This window comes from Homo sapiens, chromosome 10 (genome assembly GCF_000001405.40).
Source record: "Homo sapiens chromosome 10, GRCh38.p14 Primary Assembly".
Taxonomy (NCBI): Eukaryota; Metazoa; Chordata; class Mammalia; order Primates; family Hominidae; genus Homo; species Homo sapiens.
This window is the reverse complement of record NC_000010.11, coordinates 97,458,227-97,474,288: the sequence shown is the minus strand read 5'-3', so window position 1 is coordinate 97,474,288 and position 16,062 is coordinate 97,458,227. Positions and strand designations below refer to the sequence as shown.

The following is a 16,062-nucleotide window of genomic DNA, read 5'->3' as shown; positions in this document are numbered from 1 at the left end:
TTACACGTGTGAGCCACATATCCAGCCACAAATCAGTATTGTGTGCCATCATAGTGGATCTGATGAGCTTAAGGTTCAGTTTCTTCACTATGCTTATATGCTCACTCTAAGAAGAGGTTGGCAAACTTTTTCTTTCCCTTTTTTTTTTTTTTTTTTGAGGCAGGCTGGAGTGTAGTGGCACCATCACAGCTCACTGCAGCCTCCACCTCTCTGGACTCTGGTACTCTGGTGATCCTCCCACCCCTGCCTCCCGAGTAGCTGGAACCATAGGCACATGACACTACTCCCGACTAATTGTTGTATTTTTCTATAGAGACAGGATTTTGCCATGTTGCCCAGGCTGGTCTTGAATTCCTGGGCTCAAGCCATCCACCTGCCTCGACTTCCCAAAGTGTTGGGATTACAGGCATAAGCCACCATGCCTGGCCAACTTTTTCTATAAAAGGCCAGACAGTAGCTTTGTGGGTCATATGGTCTCCTCAACTCTGCTGTTACTGCACAAAAACAGCCTTAGACACAGGAACAGCTACAGTAGCTATATCCCAATAGAACTTTTGTTATCAACACTAAACTTTGAATTTCATATAATTTTCACTTGTCACAAGATATTCTTTTGGTTTGTTTCAAACATTAAAAATGTTAAAACCATTCTTAGCCAAACAATGTCAACAGGTTGATTTTTACTCCTAATGCAGAGTAGATATTGGTTCTTCCTTCACCGTCATCCTAGATTCCCTTATCCTTTTTCTTGGATCAGATCTCCTGTTTCCTGAGTTCACATATTCCTCATTTTGTGGTTTACCCCCTCAGTTTGATGGTGTACTTCCTTTAGTATTTTCCTGAGAGAATGTATGAAGAAGTGAGAATTTTTTAGATTTGTAACCCTTAAATGCCTTCAATCTTGTCTCTCATTTTTGACATTATGGGCATGTAATTCAAGAATAGAAATTCTAGGCCGGGCGCAGTGGCTCACACCTGTAATCTAAGCACTTTAAGAGGCCGAGGCGGGTGGATCACTTGAGGTCAGGAGTTCGAGACTAGCCTGACCAACATGGTGGAATCCCGTCTCTACTAGAAATACAAAAATTAGCTAGGCGTGGTAGCAGGCGCCTGTAATCTCAGCTACTTGGGAGGCTGAGGCAGGAGAATTGCTTGAACCTGGGAGGCGGAGGTTACAGTGAGCCGAGATCACGCCATTGCACTCCAGCTTAGGCAACAAGAGTAAAACTCCATCTCAAAAAAAAAAATAAATAAAAAGAGAATTCTAGCTGGATGCAGTTGCACATGTCTGCAGTCCCAGCTACTTGTGAGGCTGAGGCAGAACAATCACTTGAGGCCAGGAGTTTGAGGCTGTAGTGCACTATGATTGCACCTGAGAAAGAGGCCAGGTGCAGTAACTGACGCTTGTAATCCCGCTACTTTGGGAGGCTGAGGCAGGTGGATTGCTTGAGCTCAGGAGTTCAAGACCAGCCCGGGCACCATGGCAAAACCTTGTCTATAAGAAATACAAAAATTAACTGGGCGTGGTGGTCGAGTCTGTAGCCCCTGCTACTCGGGAGGTGGAGGTGGGAGGATGGCTTGGGCTGGGGAGGCAGAGGTTGCATTGAGCCAAGATCATGCCTCTGCACTCCAGCCTGGAAGACAGAGCCAGACTCAGTCACCAAAAAACCAAAAACAAAAACAAAAAAAAAATGGAAATTATTTTCTCCTAAGATTTTGAAGGCATTGCTACATTTAAATCTAGTTATTGGCTGGGCGTGGTGGCTCATGCCTGTAATCTCAACACTTCGAAAGGCCAAGGCAGGCGGATCACCTGAGGTCAGGAGTTCAAGACCAGCCTGGCTAACATGGTGAAACCCCATTTCTACTAAAAATACAAAAAAATTAGCCGGGCATGGTGGCGTGAGCCTGTAATCCCAGCCACTCGGGAGACAGGCAGGAGAATCGCTTGAATCCTGGAGGCAGAGGCTGCAGTGAGCCAAGATCGTGCCATTGCACTCCAGCTTGTGTAACAAGAGCAAAACTCCATCTCAAATAAATAAATAAGCCTAGTTATCTAGTTTTCATTTGCTGTGGAGAAGTCTGAATTTCTTCTGTTTCATAAACTTTTGTATTTACCATTTTTTTCTTCCTCTCTATAAACTGATGTTTGGTTCACCCCGATACATTGAAACTTCACAGTGATGTGCCTTAGTATTGGTCTATTTCATGTACTGTGTTGGGTACTTAGTAGGCCCTGTCAATCTGGTAACCCGTGTCCATTAGTCCTGTAAATTTTTCTTGAATTCTTTAATTGATGATTTCTTCCTCTCTCTTTTCTCTGTTCCTTCATTTTGGAACTCTCATTAATCTTCTGTTGGACCTCTGATTTTCTGACCTTTTGTTTTCTATTTTGTACCTCTGTCTTTTTGTTACTTTATAAGAGAATTCCACAGTTTTATCTTTTCTATCAAAGTCCAGTCATGAAAACAGAAACCAGGCCAGGTTCGGTGGCTTACGCCTGTAATCCCAGCACTTCGGGAGGCTGAGGTGGGTGGATCATTCGAGGTCAGGAGTTCCAGACCAGCCTGGCCAACATGATGAAACCCCATGTCTACAAAAAATATATAAAAATTAGCCAGGTGTGTTGGTGCGCCTGTAACCCCAGCTACTTGGGAGGTTGAGACATGAGAATCACTTGAACCTAGGAGGTGGAGGTTGCACTGAGCTAGGATCAAGCCACTGCAATCCAGCATGGGTGACAGAGTGAGACTCTGTCTCAAAAAAAAATAATAATAATAATAGTAAATCCCTTCTTTTACTATGTTTTTGGTGGAGTTTGCAAAGAGGAAAAGGAAAACCTGATATATGTTTTCAGTCTGTCGTCTTGGTACAGAAACCATCAAGGCTTTCTGTTTTCAGAATTACAGCTTTTTATAAGGGTGAAAAAAATGGAAATGTCCATCAACAAGGAATTATCTAGATAAACTGGTACAACCACAAAATGAAATCATAGCCACTAAAACTAATGCTATGAAAGAATAATACCATAAAAATGTTCTTAATATGTTAAGTGAAAAAAATTAAAAACCACATGTACAAAATGATTTTTAAGTATATATATATTTTATATGGAAACAGTATATACTAGCACATAGTAACAATATATATCAGCGAAGAAAGGAATACACCAGAAAGTTAAGCATGCTTATTTCTGAGTGGTGAAATGATAGAAAATGTGTAATCAGATTTTTTAAAATGCCTAAAGACAAAAGTTCCCAAGGAGTACCTAAGATCAAGCAAGTCTTCTTGCTGGGGCCTCATTATCTTACTATCTTCCCTGATTGGGTATGAGTATCACCCTGTTCTGCAGGGTTACCAGGTTCGAGCCTGTGTTCAAGGTGGTCTGAAATGTTACACAAACCCACAGCCCTTCTCCCTTTTCCAGCCACCTAATGATCCCCATGGTATCCAGAGAGAAGACCTCATCCTGAGTCTTCGCGCTGTGCTGGCTTCTACACCACGATTTGCTGAGGTGGGTCTAGCCAAGGTTAGGGTATATAGCCTCTGCCCATAGATGGCTCTGAAGAAAGAGCAGTAAAAGCATGGAGAAAAAAATATCTGGTATACATTTTAGGGCATGACACCCTGCAAGTGTCTTGTGTGGCAGGTATCTTCAGACCTTCGATGTAGAAAACTTTACCATCTCTTCATAATCCAGAGCTGGATTCAGTGGCACACACCTATAGTTCCAGCTACTCAGGAGGAGTCTGAGTGGAAAGGATCACTTAAACCCAGGAGTTCAAATCCAGCCTGGGCAACATAGGGAGACCTCGTCTCCGCTACACAAAAAAATAAATAAACCCAATCCCTATATGGTGCTGTCTTTTAAAATCCTGTAACTTTGTCAACTTGCCTGTTTTTGAGGTAGTGGGGCTCTGGTCACTGCTTGGCAGGAAGGTTAGCTTACATTCATAGCTCCTGACTTGAGTACAGCTCCTTGATGTAGTACCTGCTTTTAGGGACTGATGGCAAGGACAGGGTTGACCTTGATGTGACTGACACACCACCCATCTCAGGCTTAAGATCTTCCTTCTGTCCCACAGTTTCTGCTGCCCCTGTTGATTGAGAAAGTGGATTCTGAGGTTCTGAGTGCCAAGTTGGATTCTCTACAGACTCTGGTGAGTGATTTTTCTCCTTGCAGGACCCAGCTACCTTTTGACAAGTTAGGGGTCCTAAAGGATATAGATTCTAGGATAGCCAAGGAACAGTTCATGGGCCTCAGAAGAGGATACCCAGGATTTGGGCCTTTGTGTCGACCTGAAGCCCCCAGCTGCATATCGTCGTGTCCCATCCCCCATCCCATAGTAACTGAGGAAAGGCTGACCAGGACTCCCTCTTTAGGCTTCTATTTTATCAACCAGGGTTATCTCCTACTTCTCTGTTCCCTTAGTAGGACTGTTAAAAATCTTAACTGGTTTTTCTGCTGAGACCAGGGCTCCTTCAGGTGCCATTATGCTGAGGTACCTGCACATCCTAGGGTGTCTGAGTGTGTACATAACTGATAGCAGCGGTTTCCTTGGCAGAATGCTTGCTGTGCTGTGTATGGACAGAAGGAACTGAAGGACTTCCTCCCCAGCCTTTGGGCTTCTATCCGCAGAGAGGTGAGTGTCACTCAGATAAACTCACTACTGTTAACTTTCAATTGTCAGGCATGAGGGGAAATAATACATCCTGTCCTTTTCCCTCTGTCATCCCCAGGGCCAAGATATAATGCCTGGTTATTCAGGAGGCAAGTAGGGGGACATAATTCTAGTTGAATGACAAGAGAGAGAGTCCCTATGTGACGGTCAGCTGCTTGGTAAGAGCAGCTGATCACCTTTGCACATTACCCACTTCTTGTCCTTCTGTGGCAAGGAGTGCAGGTCATGGTGCCTTTGGCACCATGGTGAATAGAAAGGTGAGCAGAGCCACTGCTCAGAGTTGGCTTTTTGTTTCTCAGAAAGTATGTGTCTCTGTCCTGAGTGTGACTAAGGACTTGGTAAGAACACACCAATTGAGAAGACACTCAGTTGGGGTGTTAATTTCCATTTCTGTGTCCTAGAGGTTCTCACTCCCCTCTCCAACAAGGAAATAGGCAGTGGATTGGTGGGGTCTCATCTGGTGCAGGCTCACCTCAGTAGCCATGGGATCCCTCCCTGACAGGTGTTCCAGACGGCAAGTGAGCGGGTGGAGGCAGAGGGCCTGGCGGCCCTCCACTCCCTGACTGCGTGTTTGTCTCGCTCTGTGCTGAGGGCTGATGCTGAGGACCTCCTTGACTCCTTCCTTAGCAACATTCTACAGGGTAATGGGGCCGTGGCAGCCAGGAAGGGGAGTGAGCACAATAGAAACGACATTCCTTGCCTGGGTGCGGTGGCTCACGCCTGTAATCCCTGCACTTTAGGAGGCCGAGGCGGGTGGATCACCTGAGGTCAGGAGTTAAAGACCAGCCTGGCCAACATGGTGAAACCTCGTCTCTACTAAAAATACAAAAATTAGCCGGGCGTGGTGGTGGACGCCTGTAATCCCAGCTACTCGGGAGGCTGAGGCAGGAGAATCGCTTGAAAAGGCAGAGGTTGCGGTGAGCTGAGATTGCGCCACTGCACTCCAGCTTGGGCAACGAGAGCAAAACTCCATCTCTAAAAAAAAAACAAATGACATTCCTTAAGGGCCAGTGACCTTTATTGTTTAGTCCCAACATATTTGGTGATTTGGGGGCGATAGCCCTACTTTGAATTGAAAACAATTTGAGTGTTAACTGCTTGCAAACTGTCATGGGTCTCAGTCTCCAACCTCTGTGGACTGTAGGGGAGTCAGGCACCATTTGGCCTCCTCCCCAGCTCTGTGATGTGCTGCTTCTCTAGACTGCAGGCACCACCTGTGTGAACCGGACATGAAACTGGTGTGGCCTAGTGCCAAGCTGTTGCAGGCAGCTGCAGGTGCATCTGCCCGGGCCTGTGACTCTGTCACCAGCAATGTACTGCCTTTACTGCTGGAACAGTTCCACAAGCACAGTCAGGTAAGGGAGCAGAATCTTTGGGGGAAATGATGGGACCTGTGTGCTAGGTTCCCTTTCTCAGAGAGTGAGCTAAGTTTTAGCTTGGGCCAACATAGTAGACCTTGGGTTTTGCTCCCATTAGCTGCTGCTGCTGCTTCCCTTACTCACTTTTTCCCTGTCTCATACATAAAAGGATCATTCTCCCAAGACAGGAGGATAGCTTGAAGCCAGGAGTTCAAGATCAGCCTGGGCAACAAAGTGAGATCCCATCTCTAAAAAAAAAAAAATTTTTTTTAAATTAGCCAAGCAGGACATGCTGGTTCATGCCTGTAATCCCAGCACTTTAGGAGACCAAGGCAGGACAATCACTTGAGGCTAGGATTTAAAGACCAGCTTGGGCAACAAGACAAGACCACATCTCTACAAAAAAAAAAAAAAAAAATTAGCTGGATAAGGTGGCACGCATCTGTAGTCCCAGCTACTCAAGAGGCTGAGGCGAGAGAATCACTTGAACCTAGGAGGTCGGGGCTGCAGGGAGCTATAATCATGCTACTGTATTCCAGCCTGGCTGTGGCATAGCAAAACCCCCATCTCTTGGAAGAAAGAAAGAATTTTCCCTATATCCAGAGTAGCAGGATTGAAATCCTTTAAAATATTCTTTGACTCTAGTACCCCTTGAAACGTTACAGAGCAGCCAGCGGCGGACAATCCTTGAAATGCTCCTGGGTTTCTTGAAGCTGCAGCAGAAATGGAGCTATGAAGACAAAGGTGAGGTTGCCTTCCATTGCAGTGCTCTGGGGACTGTTGAACACTTCAGCCTATAAAGGATAGCAGGGCAAAGAGTGCTGTGGAAAAGTAGTCTAGAACAGTGGTCCTATTCTGAGGTTGTAGCACAAGAGAACACTTAACAGATGAGATGGATGAGATCTGTTTATTTTTCTCAGTGTGCTTTCTGGATACCCAATGGATTAAGCTCTTTAAATCTGCCCCAGGAGGCGGGGCATGGTGGCTCACACCTATAATCCCAGCACTTTGGTAGGCTAAGGCAGGCGGAAAACTTGAGGTTAGGAGTTCGAGACCAGCCTGGCCAATATGGTGAAACCCTGTCTCTACTAAAAATACAAAAATTAGCCAGGCCTGTTGGCACATGCCTGTAATTCCAGCTACTCGGGAGGCTGAGGCAGGAGAATGGCTTGAACCTGGGAGGCAGAGGCTGCAGTGATCCGAGATTACGCCACTGCACTCCAGCCTGGGCAACAGAGGCCTTGTCTCAAAAAAAAAATCTACCCCAGGTTGGCTGTGTATCACAGCTTAGTCAGGGATATGGAATGCAGTGGCTTCCTTCTAACCTGGCCTCTGTCTCTTCCCTAGATCAAAGGCCTCTGAATGGCTTCAAGGACCAGCTGTGCTCACTGGTATTCATGGCTCTAACAGACCCCAGCACCCAGCTTCAGCTTGTTGGCATCCGTACACTGACAGTCTTGGGTGCCCAGCCAGGTACATCTTAAGGGAAAGAGAAGAGGAAAATATTGGTCCTTTTCTTGTAAGACTGCCTTGGTGAAAAGCAGCCTTACTATCCTCTTCTTACTGCAACTCTGGATGATTTGGGATTTCTAATAAGAGCTTAGAAGGGTTGTGATGGCTGCAGGGGAAGAAAGATGAGATTCATGTTCCCTTCTAACTACAGATCTCCTATCTTATGAGGACTTGGAGCTGGCAGTGGGTCACCTGTACAGACTGAGCTTCCTGAAGGAGGATTCCCAGAGTTGGTGAGAATTTAAAGCAATGAGATAGAGCAAGCTGTTCCCTGCCTCTGTATTGGCAGCAAAAGATCAAGCTAGGACCAGGGCTCTGTGCTTCTGACCCTTGGCTCTCCTTAGGGGAGGTGAGCTCTGTGTTAGACTCTGGCTGCTAACCAGTTGGAGAGATGTAGGACTGCTCTCTTCTTAGGCTTTAAGAAGCCCTGTCCAACTCAGTGGTGTAGGTACTTGAGTTCTGCTCTTTAGCAAGGAGGCGTTGGGAGCTCACACTCCTGAATCTGCCTAATATCAGACGTAGGCAAGAGAGCTGTGAGCCCAGGCTCAGCCAATGCTTATCTGCTCTGCGCCTCCAGCAGGGTGGCAGCACTGGAAGCATCAGGAACCCTGGCTGCTCTCTACCCTGTGGCCTTCAGCAGCCACCTCGTACCCAAGCTCGCTGAGGAGCTGCGTGTAGGTATGTGTCTCTAATCCTCTGTGGCCCATCCCTTTCCAGCAAGGCTTTGGGGCCTTCGTGCTTCCTATCACACAGTAAACCTTTGTCTCATGGGTTGCTTTCAGGGGAGTCAAATTTGACTAACGGAGATGAGCCCACCCAATGCTCCCGGCATCTGTGCTGTCTGCAAGCCTTGTCAGCTGTATCAACACATCCCAGCATCGTCAAGGAGACACTGCCTCTGCTGCTGCAGCATCTCTGGCAAGTGAACAGAGGTAACTACTAGGAATAACCACCAACGGACTGGGCTGAATAGGGAGCTGTAGTCTCTAAGGCAGTGGTTCTAGCTGTAGCTATACATAAGAGTAACAGAATCAACTCTTTTAAAAGAAAAAAAAAATACTGATGCCTGCGTCCAACTGAATCAGTCTCTGAGGAGGGATGGGACTTAGGCAACAGTACTATTAAGAGTACCCGGCCAGGGCCGCTGCTCTTGCCTGTAATCTCAGCACTTTGGGAGGCCGAGGCCAGCAGATCACTTGAGGTCAGGAATTTGAGACCAACTTAGCCAACATGGAGAAACCCAGTCTCTACTAAAAATACAAAAAATTAGCTGGGCATGGTGGCATGCGCCTGTAATCCCAGCTACTGGGGAGGCTGAGGCAGGAGAATCTCTTGAACCCACAAGGCGGAGGTTGCAGCGAGCTGAGATTGCGCCACTGTACTCCAGCCTGGCCAGCCTGGGCAATAGAGTGAAACTCTATCTCAAAAGAAAAAAAGGGTTGGGCGCAGTGGCACATGCCTATAATCCCAGCACTTTGGGAGGCTGAGGCGGGTGGATCACAAGGTCAGGAGTTTGAGACCAGCCTGACCAACATGGTGCAATCCCGTCTCTACTAAAAATTATCTGGTCATGGTGGCAGGCGCCTGTAATCCCAGCTACTCAGGAGGCTGAGGCAGGATAATCGTTTGAACCTGGGAGGCGGAGGTTGCAGTGAGCCAAGATCATGCCATTGCACTCACACCTGGGCAAACAGGGTGAAACTCCATCTCAAAAAAGAAAAAAAAAAGTGCCGGGCTGGGTGTGGTGGCTCATGCCTGTAATCCCAGCACTTTGGGAGGCCAAGGCTGATGGATCACTTGAGCTCAAGAGTTTGAGACCTAACCAGCCGATGCAACATGGCGAAACCGCATCTCTACAAAAAATACAAAAATTAGCCAGGAGCAGTGGCATGCACCTGTAGTCCCAGCTACTTGGGAGGCTAAGGCAGGAGAATCACTTTGAGCCCGGGAGGCAGAGGTTGGAGCAAGCCGAGATCGCTCCATTGCACTCCAGCCTGACCTGGGCAACAGGAGTGAAGCCCTGTCTCCAAAAAAAAAAAAAAAAATTACCTAGGTAATTTTCATGTGGGATCTGAATTGAGAGGCATCACCCTAAGGCCGTGGTGCTCAAAAGATGGTCTGTTAACCAGCAGCATGGGTGACATCTGGGAGCTTGTTAGAAGTGCAGAATCTCAGGCCCTCACTGATCAGAATCTGCATTTTGACAGTGTACCCTGGTAACTCGTAGACTGTTGAGTTTGAGAAGCACTGCTCCAATGCAAAAGTGACAGCAGCCTGCCCTGTGGGTAGATTCAGGCCCACTGTGGTTGATCCAGCAGCTGTTACATAGTAGAATGAATACTAGACTTGGATTATAACTTGGGCTTGATTCCTGACTTTGCACTTCCTGTGACCCTGGAAAAGCCACTGATCATGTATTTCATTGTGCCTCCATGTCCTTCTCTATAGAGTGAGGGAAATGATACTTCTAAGGTTGTTATGAAAAATAAGGAGAGAATATATACAAGTGCTTCTGCTGCAGAGCCTGGGACAGAGCAAGTCTCAACTATGAAGTCTGAATAGATCAGAAAGAACAGCCAGGAGAATAAAGTGACTCAGCTTTTTAATAAGGCACTCTTGGTCCCTTCAGTCACTCTTCTTTGTTCCTCTCATCTGCTGTGTAATTGGAAACACCTGAAAGTGCTTTTAAGCAAACCTTACAGAGAACACTTTCTCATCAACAGGGAATATGGTTGCACAATCCAGTGACGTTATTGCTGTCTGTCAGAGCCTCAGACAGATGGCAGAAAAATGTCAGCAGGACCCTGAGAGTTGCTGGTATTTCCACCAGACAGCTATACCTTGCCTGCTTGCCTTGGCTGTGCAGGCCTCTATGCCAGGTAACTTTCCACCTCTCCTTCCTGGCCTTTGGGAACTTTGCCCTCTGCTGGTGTTGAACAGCACCACCCTCTGGGTATTGGTGGTACTGTATTTTGTACCATCAGAGGTTTATTTTCAATCCTTTGTCCTCAGAGTGAGATTTCACTTCATAGCAAAGGGTGCCACCCTGACCAGTGGCAGGAACCAAAATCCACTAGTGTTAGCAACATTCAAAAGAATGCACACCTTTTCCCCATGAAGTGCTATGTGATTAGTTTACTTAGAATTGGACTCTGGAGTCAAGCCCACCTGGTTGGGTTTTATCCTCAACTCTACCACTTGCTAACTTAGGTGAAGATATTCAGCCTTTCCACGCTTCAATTTCCTCACTTGTAAGATGGAGATAAAGAGTACCGTCTAGGCTGGCGCCATGGTTCACACCTGTAATCCCAGCACTTCAGGAGGCCAAGATGGGAGGATCACTTGAGTCCAGGAGTTTGAGACCAGCCTGGGCAACACAGGGGACCCTGTTTCTACAAATAGTCAGACATAGTGGTGCACACCTATAGTCCCAGCTGCTCAAGAGGCTGAGGTGGGAGGATCACCTGAGCCCAGGAGTTCAAGGCTGCAGTGAGGCATGATTGTGCCTCTGCACTCGAGCCTGGGTGACAGAGCGAGATCCTGTTCCTGTCTCAAAAAAAAAAAAAAAAAAAACTGTTTCACAGGGTAGTTGGTAAGGATTAAATAAGTTAGTGTATAGTACCTGCCACATAGGAAGTACTCAGTGTATGATAGTTGCTATAAATAATAAGGACCCATGAAGATAAATCTATGTTTTTAATTTTTTCAGAGACCAACATTACTATTTTTTTTTCCTTGCATCTCCAGGGACACCAGGGACAACATTTCTATTTCTTATGTTAAGAATGTTCATCTTAGCTATCCCTCTTTCCCACTGTTGGCCTAGTCTAAAGACTGTGCAGAGTTCTCAGGAGCGCTCTGTGGCCCCAGGTCAGACCACTCCTGTTTCTGGTGCCCTGATTCTCAGGACTATAGCACTACCAGAGACCAGATTAAGAACTGCTGTCGTGGCTAGAGTCAAGCCCCAGAGTCAGTGATGCTGACAGAACCCAATCATTCATTTCTTGAACCCGTCATGGTCTTGTGATTGTGTGCATGTGTGTGTGTTTTGCAGAGAAGGAGCCCTCAGTTCTGAGAAAAGTACTATTGGAGGATGAGGTGTTGGCTGCCATGGTGTCTGTCATTGGCACTGCTACAACCCACCTGAGCCCTGAGTAAGTATAATCATGGATGTGGCTTGAACCCAGGGAGAAGGATAGCATTCTTAGGAAGAAGCAACAGGTAGCTGCCTTGTCAGCTGTCCTTTTACCTATATGTAAATGTGGTGCAGTTAATCGTCTTGTAAGTTTTGTTGACAAAACAAAAGGAAGGGGCTCTTAGCACCATGGACTATGAGGGTGGGAAGCCAGGGCCAGTGGTTCTTAGCCGCAGATGTGCTTAAGAATTACCTGTAGAGCATTTTAAAATATACCTTGACTTCCCAGATGGGAACCTGAATGGAAATGATTACTGGCACATATGTGCCAAATTAATATTTGTTCAATGCATGAATGATCAGGGCATGTCCCATTGACGTGGTGATCCTAATTCAAACCCTAGGTTGAAAAGCACGTCTGTGGAGGAGAGGGCTGCTTTAGAATCCTAGCTCCTTGGTCATACCTAGTACTCTGCCCCCAGGTTAGCTGCCCAGAGTGTGACACACATTGTGCCCCTCTTCTTGGATGGCAACGTGTCCTTTCTGCCTGAAAACAGCTTCCCGAGCAGATTCCAGCCATTCCAGGTAACAGTCTTAGAACTTACATCCTTCAAGCTGGTTTTTTTTTAGGGCTAATCTGGAATGGGTAGAGGGGCAGACAAGCTTATTGCTGGCAGGCTTGATCGGGCTCTCCTTCCTTTATAGGATGGCTCCTCAGGGCAGAGGCGGCTGATTGCACTGCTTATGGCCTTTGTCTGCTCCCTGCCTCGAAATGTAAGTGAGCACATTTGGGAAGTACTGTTATTTAACCTTGACAAGGTGACTCCGGGCTGAAATTTGCCACAGGCTAAGCTGATCTTTTACTTCCCCCACCAGAGAAGTTAGTTCTCATCCGTCCCGGTCCCTGCTGCCACTATGTACTGGTTCTCTTGGAGTTCAAGTGTTCTCTGGGTCCATTACATGGCCAGGTTTTCTGTAGGTGGAAATCCCTCAGCTGAACCAACTCATGCGGGAGCTTTTGGAACTGAGCTGCTGCCACAGCTGCCCCTTTTCTTCCACCGCTGCTGCCAAGTGCTTTGCAGGACTCCTCAACAAGCACCCTGCAGGTACTGAGATCAGACTATGTAAGGAGCCTCCCAGAATCAACTACCCATGAAATCTTATAGCTCAGTACTCATTCTCTTTTTAAAAGGAGCTTGCTAATAACATTAACAGGGCTTCAACTGCTCAAGCACTGTCCTGGGACTGCCCGTGGGAAAAGCGTCAAGACCACAGTTGGGCAGAGCTTTATAGTACCTAAGAAGAGAAGGGAGCACAAAGAGTCTAGTTCTGCCGTCCTACTCCCTACAGTGGGGCTAGTGTGGATAATTCTTTATTGGAAGTAGATGACCCTCTCTTTTCAAATGGCAGCACCTCTGTATTATGAGAATACCAGGCTCTTATGCAGGTGTCCAATCATTTTGTCCACAGGCAAAAATGATATTTTCCCTTTCTAACAGCTTCTCAGGGAGCTCTGCACTTAAAGTGATTTGCATTTCATTGCTAAAGGGAAAATGTGTAGCCTTTATGTCAGCATTTCCTCTCTCCTTTTTAGGGCAGCAGCTGGATGAATTCCTACAGCTAGCTGTGGACAAAGTGGAGGCTGGCCTGGGCTCTGGGCCCTGTCGTAGTCAGGCCTTCACTCTTCTTCTCTGGGTAAGGAGTTGGAGTGGAGTCTGGTTAGCCAGAGAGGCAATTATGTCTGGTTAAATAAAATGTCCCTGTTTGACCCTAAACCATAAACATCTATGTCTCAGGGTTCTCGGGTTTGAGTGTCATTCCCCAATTGCTCTCTCTGTCTCCAATTACAGGTAACAAAGGCCCTAGTGCTCAGATACCATCCTCTCAGCTCCTGCCTTACAGCCCGGGTACGTCCTTTCTGGAGACAGAAGAACCCAGGACCTAAACAAACTTTCTGGTTGCTCCTATTCCTCCCAAGGACTTCCATCCTCCCCTGTGTGTTTTTTGTTTTCTTTTCTTTTTTCTTTTTGGAGACAGGGTCTTACTCTGTCACCCAGGCTGGAGTACAGTAGTGCAATCACAGCTCACTCCAGCCTCAACCTCCGTAGGCTCAAGTGATCCTCCCACTTCAGCCTCGCAAGTAGCTGGGACTACAGGGGCACCCCACCACACCCAACTAATGTTTGTATTTTTTGTAAGAACTGGGTTTGGCCATGTTGCCCAGACTCCTAGACTCAAGCAGTCCACCTGCCTTGGCCTCCCAAAGTGCTAGGATTACAGGCATGAGCCACCACACCCGGCCCCATCCTTATCTTTGGCACTTAAGATTCTTCTTCCCTGATGTACCTCAAAGGCTCTTTTTTCTCCAGCTCATGGGCCTCCTGAGTGACCCAGAATTAGGTCCAGCAGCAGCTGATGGCTTCTCTCTGCTCATGTCTGACTGCACTGATGTGCTGACTCGTGCTGGCCATGCCGAAGTGCGGATCATGTTCCGCCAGCGGTTCTTCACAGATAATGTGCCTGCTTTGGTCCAGGGCTTCCATGCTGCTCCCCAAGGTGAGGAGTCTGAAAGAAGGTCCCCACATATACACATCTCTCCTTTGCTTGGCCACATTCCCTAAGATAATTTAGGGCCCGCTTGCTTCTTTAGAGCTATATTGTGGTCTGTGCCTAGAAGACTAAACTTCTAGATTCTTGTCCCACTTCTTCCTTTCATGGGCGTATCTTGCTTATTCTGAGCGTGAAGGGCTCTTTCACCCGTTTGTAGGCTGATGTCTCAGCCTCACCACAGATTGGAATTGATTTCTCAAGCTATATATCTAAGTCCAATTTCTCCCCTAAGCCTTTCCATTTTTTACAGATGTGAAGCCAAACTACTTGAAGGGTCTTTCTCATGTACTTAACAGGCTGCCCAAGCCTGTACTCTTGCCAGAGCTGCCCACGGTAAGTCCCACAGGCAGAGCTTCTAAGCAAAGGACAAAGCTATTCTTCCCCAGATGGGGCTAGAAAGGGGAGGGAACAAGAACCAGGATCTTCATGATGTGGCCATCCCCTACCTTGCCCATTGCCCCTTAGCTTCTTTCCTTGCTGCTGGAGGCCCTGTCCTGCCCTGACTGTGTGGTGCAGCTCTCCACCCTCAGCTGCCTTCAGCCTCTTCTACTGGAAGCACCCCAAGTCATGAGTCTTCACGTGGACACCCTCGTCACCAAGTTTCTGAACCTCAGCTCTAGCCCTTCCATGGTGCGTTGAGCCCCAGCAACTCTTAGGCACCAGCATCTCTCCCTGGGCATGCTCTCACCTCCTTGTGGTTGTGTTCCAGGCTGTCCGGATCGCCGCACTGCAGTGCATGCATGCTCTCACTCGCCTGCCCACCCCTGTGGTAAGTACCTCAGGTGTCCTTCCCTGGCCTGGGAACATCTCAAGAGACACATAAGTACCTTTTTGCCTTAGTCAGGTGGGCTTGGCCACCCTGGTGTGTAATTGAGATCTGAATTACAAGGTACAGATCTTGTAATTCTGGGCCCAAGGATTCTTTTCCTTGGGCCCAGAAGGTAACAGAAAGGCCATCCTGCCACTTAACATCCCTTGGAATCACTAAAGATGTTTTGCTTTCCTCAGAATATTAGTTGTACAGAATCAAAAAAGCGGTACTTTCAGTTGCCTTGGATGAGCAAGGTTGATTATATCCTCTGACTCCACAGCTGCTGCCGTACAAACCACAGGTGATTCGGGCCTTAGCCAAACCCCTGGATGACAAGAAGAGACTGGTGCGCAAGGAAGCAGTGTCAGCCAGAGGGGAGTGGTGAGTTTCTAGGTCGTGGGGAGAGATGGGACCAAGATGAGCCTCATCACTAATGCTGCCAACTTTCTTTTTGCCTACAGGTTTCTGTTGGGGAGCCCTGGCAGCTGAGCCCTCAGTCCTGGCCTAGACTGTTCTGACAATCTAACCTGGGATTACTAACTGTTGAGCCATCTTCCCCAAAGCAGGGAAACCACTGGTCTCTGACTGCCTTTCCCACAGACACAGCACAAATGCTAGGCCTCTGTTGCATGGCTGTACAAAGAACATAAGAGTCCATATTTCTAGTGGATTTGTAAAATAAGTGTGTGTGAGACACTTGCGTTTGAAGAAAGATCTAGGGTCCTGGGTCTCTTGCATTTATATGTCAGAAAAGGGGCGATATGCTGCTGAGGGGTGAGTGCATATGAGTGTGGCCCTGAGGACCAGGGCTGGCAGATGTTGTCTACCTGCTGAAGAATAAAGATTTCTTTTGGTAATGGGGCTGTCAGATATTTCCCCCACCCCACATATGCCTCATATAACCAGAGGCATCACTGGAATAACAATGACAGGGATTGGCCAAAAATTTTTCAG

At 47.2% G+C, this 16,062-nt stretch overlaps 1 protein-coding gene across 23 annotated transcripts in view; it reads left to right on the top strand.

Annotated features, from left to right (window-relative positions):
• Nucleotides 1-15,965, top strand: part of MMS19 (MMS19 cytosolic iron-sulfur assembly component) — a 40,471-nt gene extending 24,506 nt beyond the window's left edge. For 7 of the 23 annotated variants that reach the window (NM_001289405.2, XM_047425624.1, NM_001351357.2 and 4 more), the window contains 23 exons: nt 3,428-3,514; nt 4,086-4,160; nt 4,566-4,643; nt 5,185-5,323; nt 5,883-6,037; nt 6,706-6,784; nt 7,388-7,513; nt 7,704-7,785; nt 8,130-8,230; nt 8,335-8,484; nt 10,276-10,431; nt 11,607-11,706; nt 12,170-12,272; nt 12,393-12,461; nt 12,667-12,793; nt 13,282-13,382; nt 13,538-13,594; nt 14,057-14,243; nt 14,548-14,630; nt 14,763-14,927; nt 15,007-15,066; nt 15,389-15,489; nt 15,570-15,965. In NM_001289405.2, coding sequence (NP_001276334.1) covers nt 3,428-3,514; nt 4,086-4,160; nt 4,566-4,643; nt 5,185-5,323; nt 5,883-6,037; nt 6,706-6,784; nt 7,388-7,513; nt 7,704-7,785; nt 8,130-8,230; nt 8,335-8,484; nt 10,276-10,431; nt 11,607-11,706; nt 12,170-12,272; nt 12,393-12,461; nt 12,667-12,793; nt 13,282-13,382; nt 13,538-13,594; nt 14,057-14,243; nt 14,548-14,630; nt 14,763-14,927; nt 15,007-15,066; nt 15,389-15,489; nt 15,570-15,597 — 2,409 coding nt within the window. In that variant the 3' untranslated portion in view covers nt 15,598-15,965. Of the gene's footprint in view, nt 1-3,427; nt 3,515-4,085; nt 4,161-4,565; nt 4,644-5,162; nt 5,324-5,882; nt 6,038-6,685; nt 6,785-7,387; nt 7,514-7,703; nt 7,786-8,129; nt 8,231-8,334; nt 8,485-10,275; nt 10,432-11,606; nt 11,707-12,169; nt 12,273-12,392; nt 12,462-12,666; nt 12,794-13,281; nt 13,470-13,537; nt 13,595-14,056; nt 14,244-14,547; nt 14,631-14,762; nt 14,928-15,006; nt 15,067-15,388; nt 15,490-15,569 lie in introns of those variants that run through there. The other 16 variants (NM_001289404.2, XM_017016518.3, XM_006717944.5 and 13 more) reach the window with 7 other exon arrangements.
• Nucleotides 15,966-16,062: the final 97 nt, after the last annotated feature.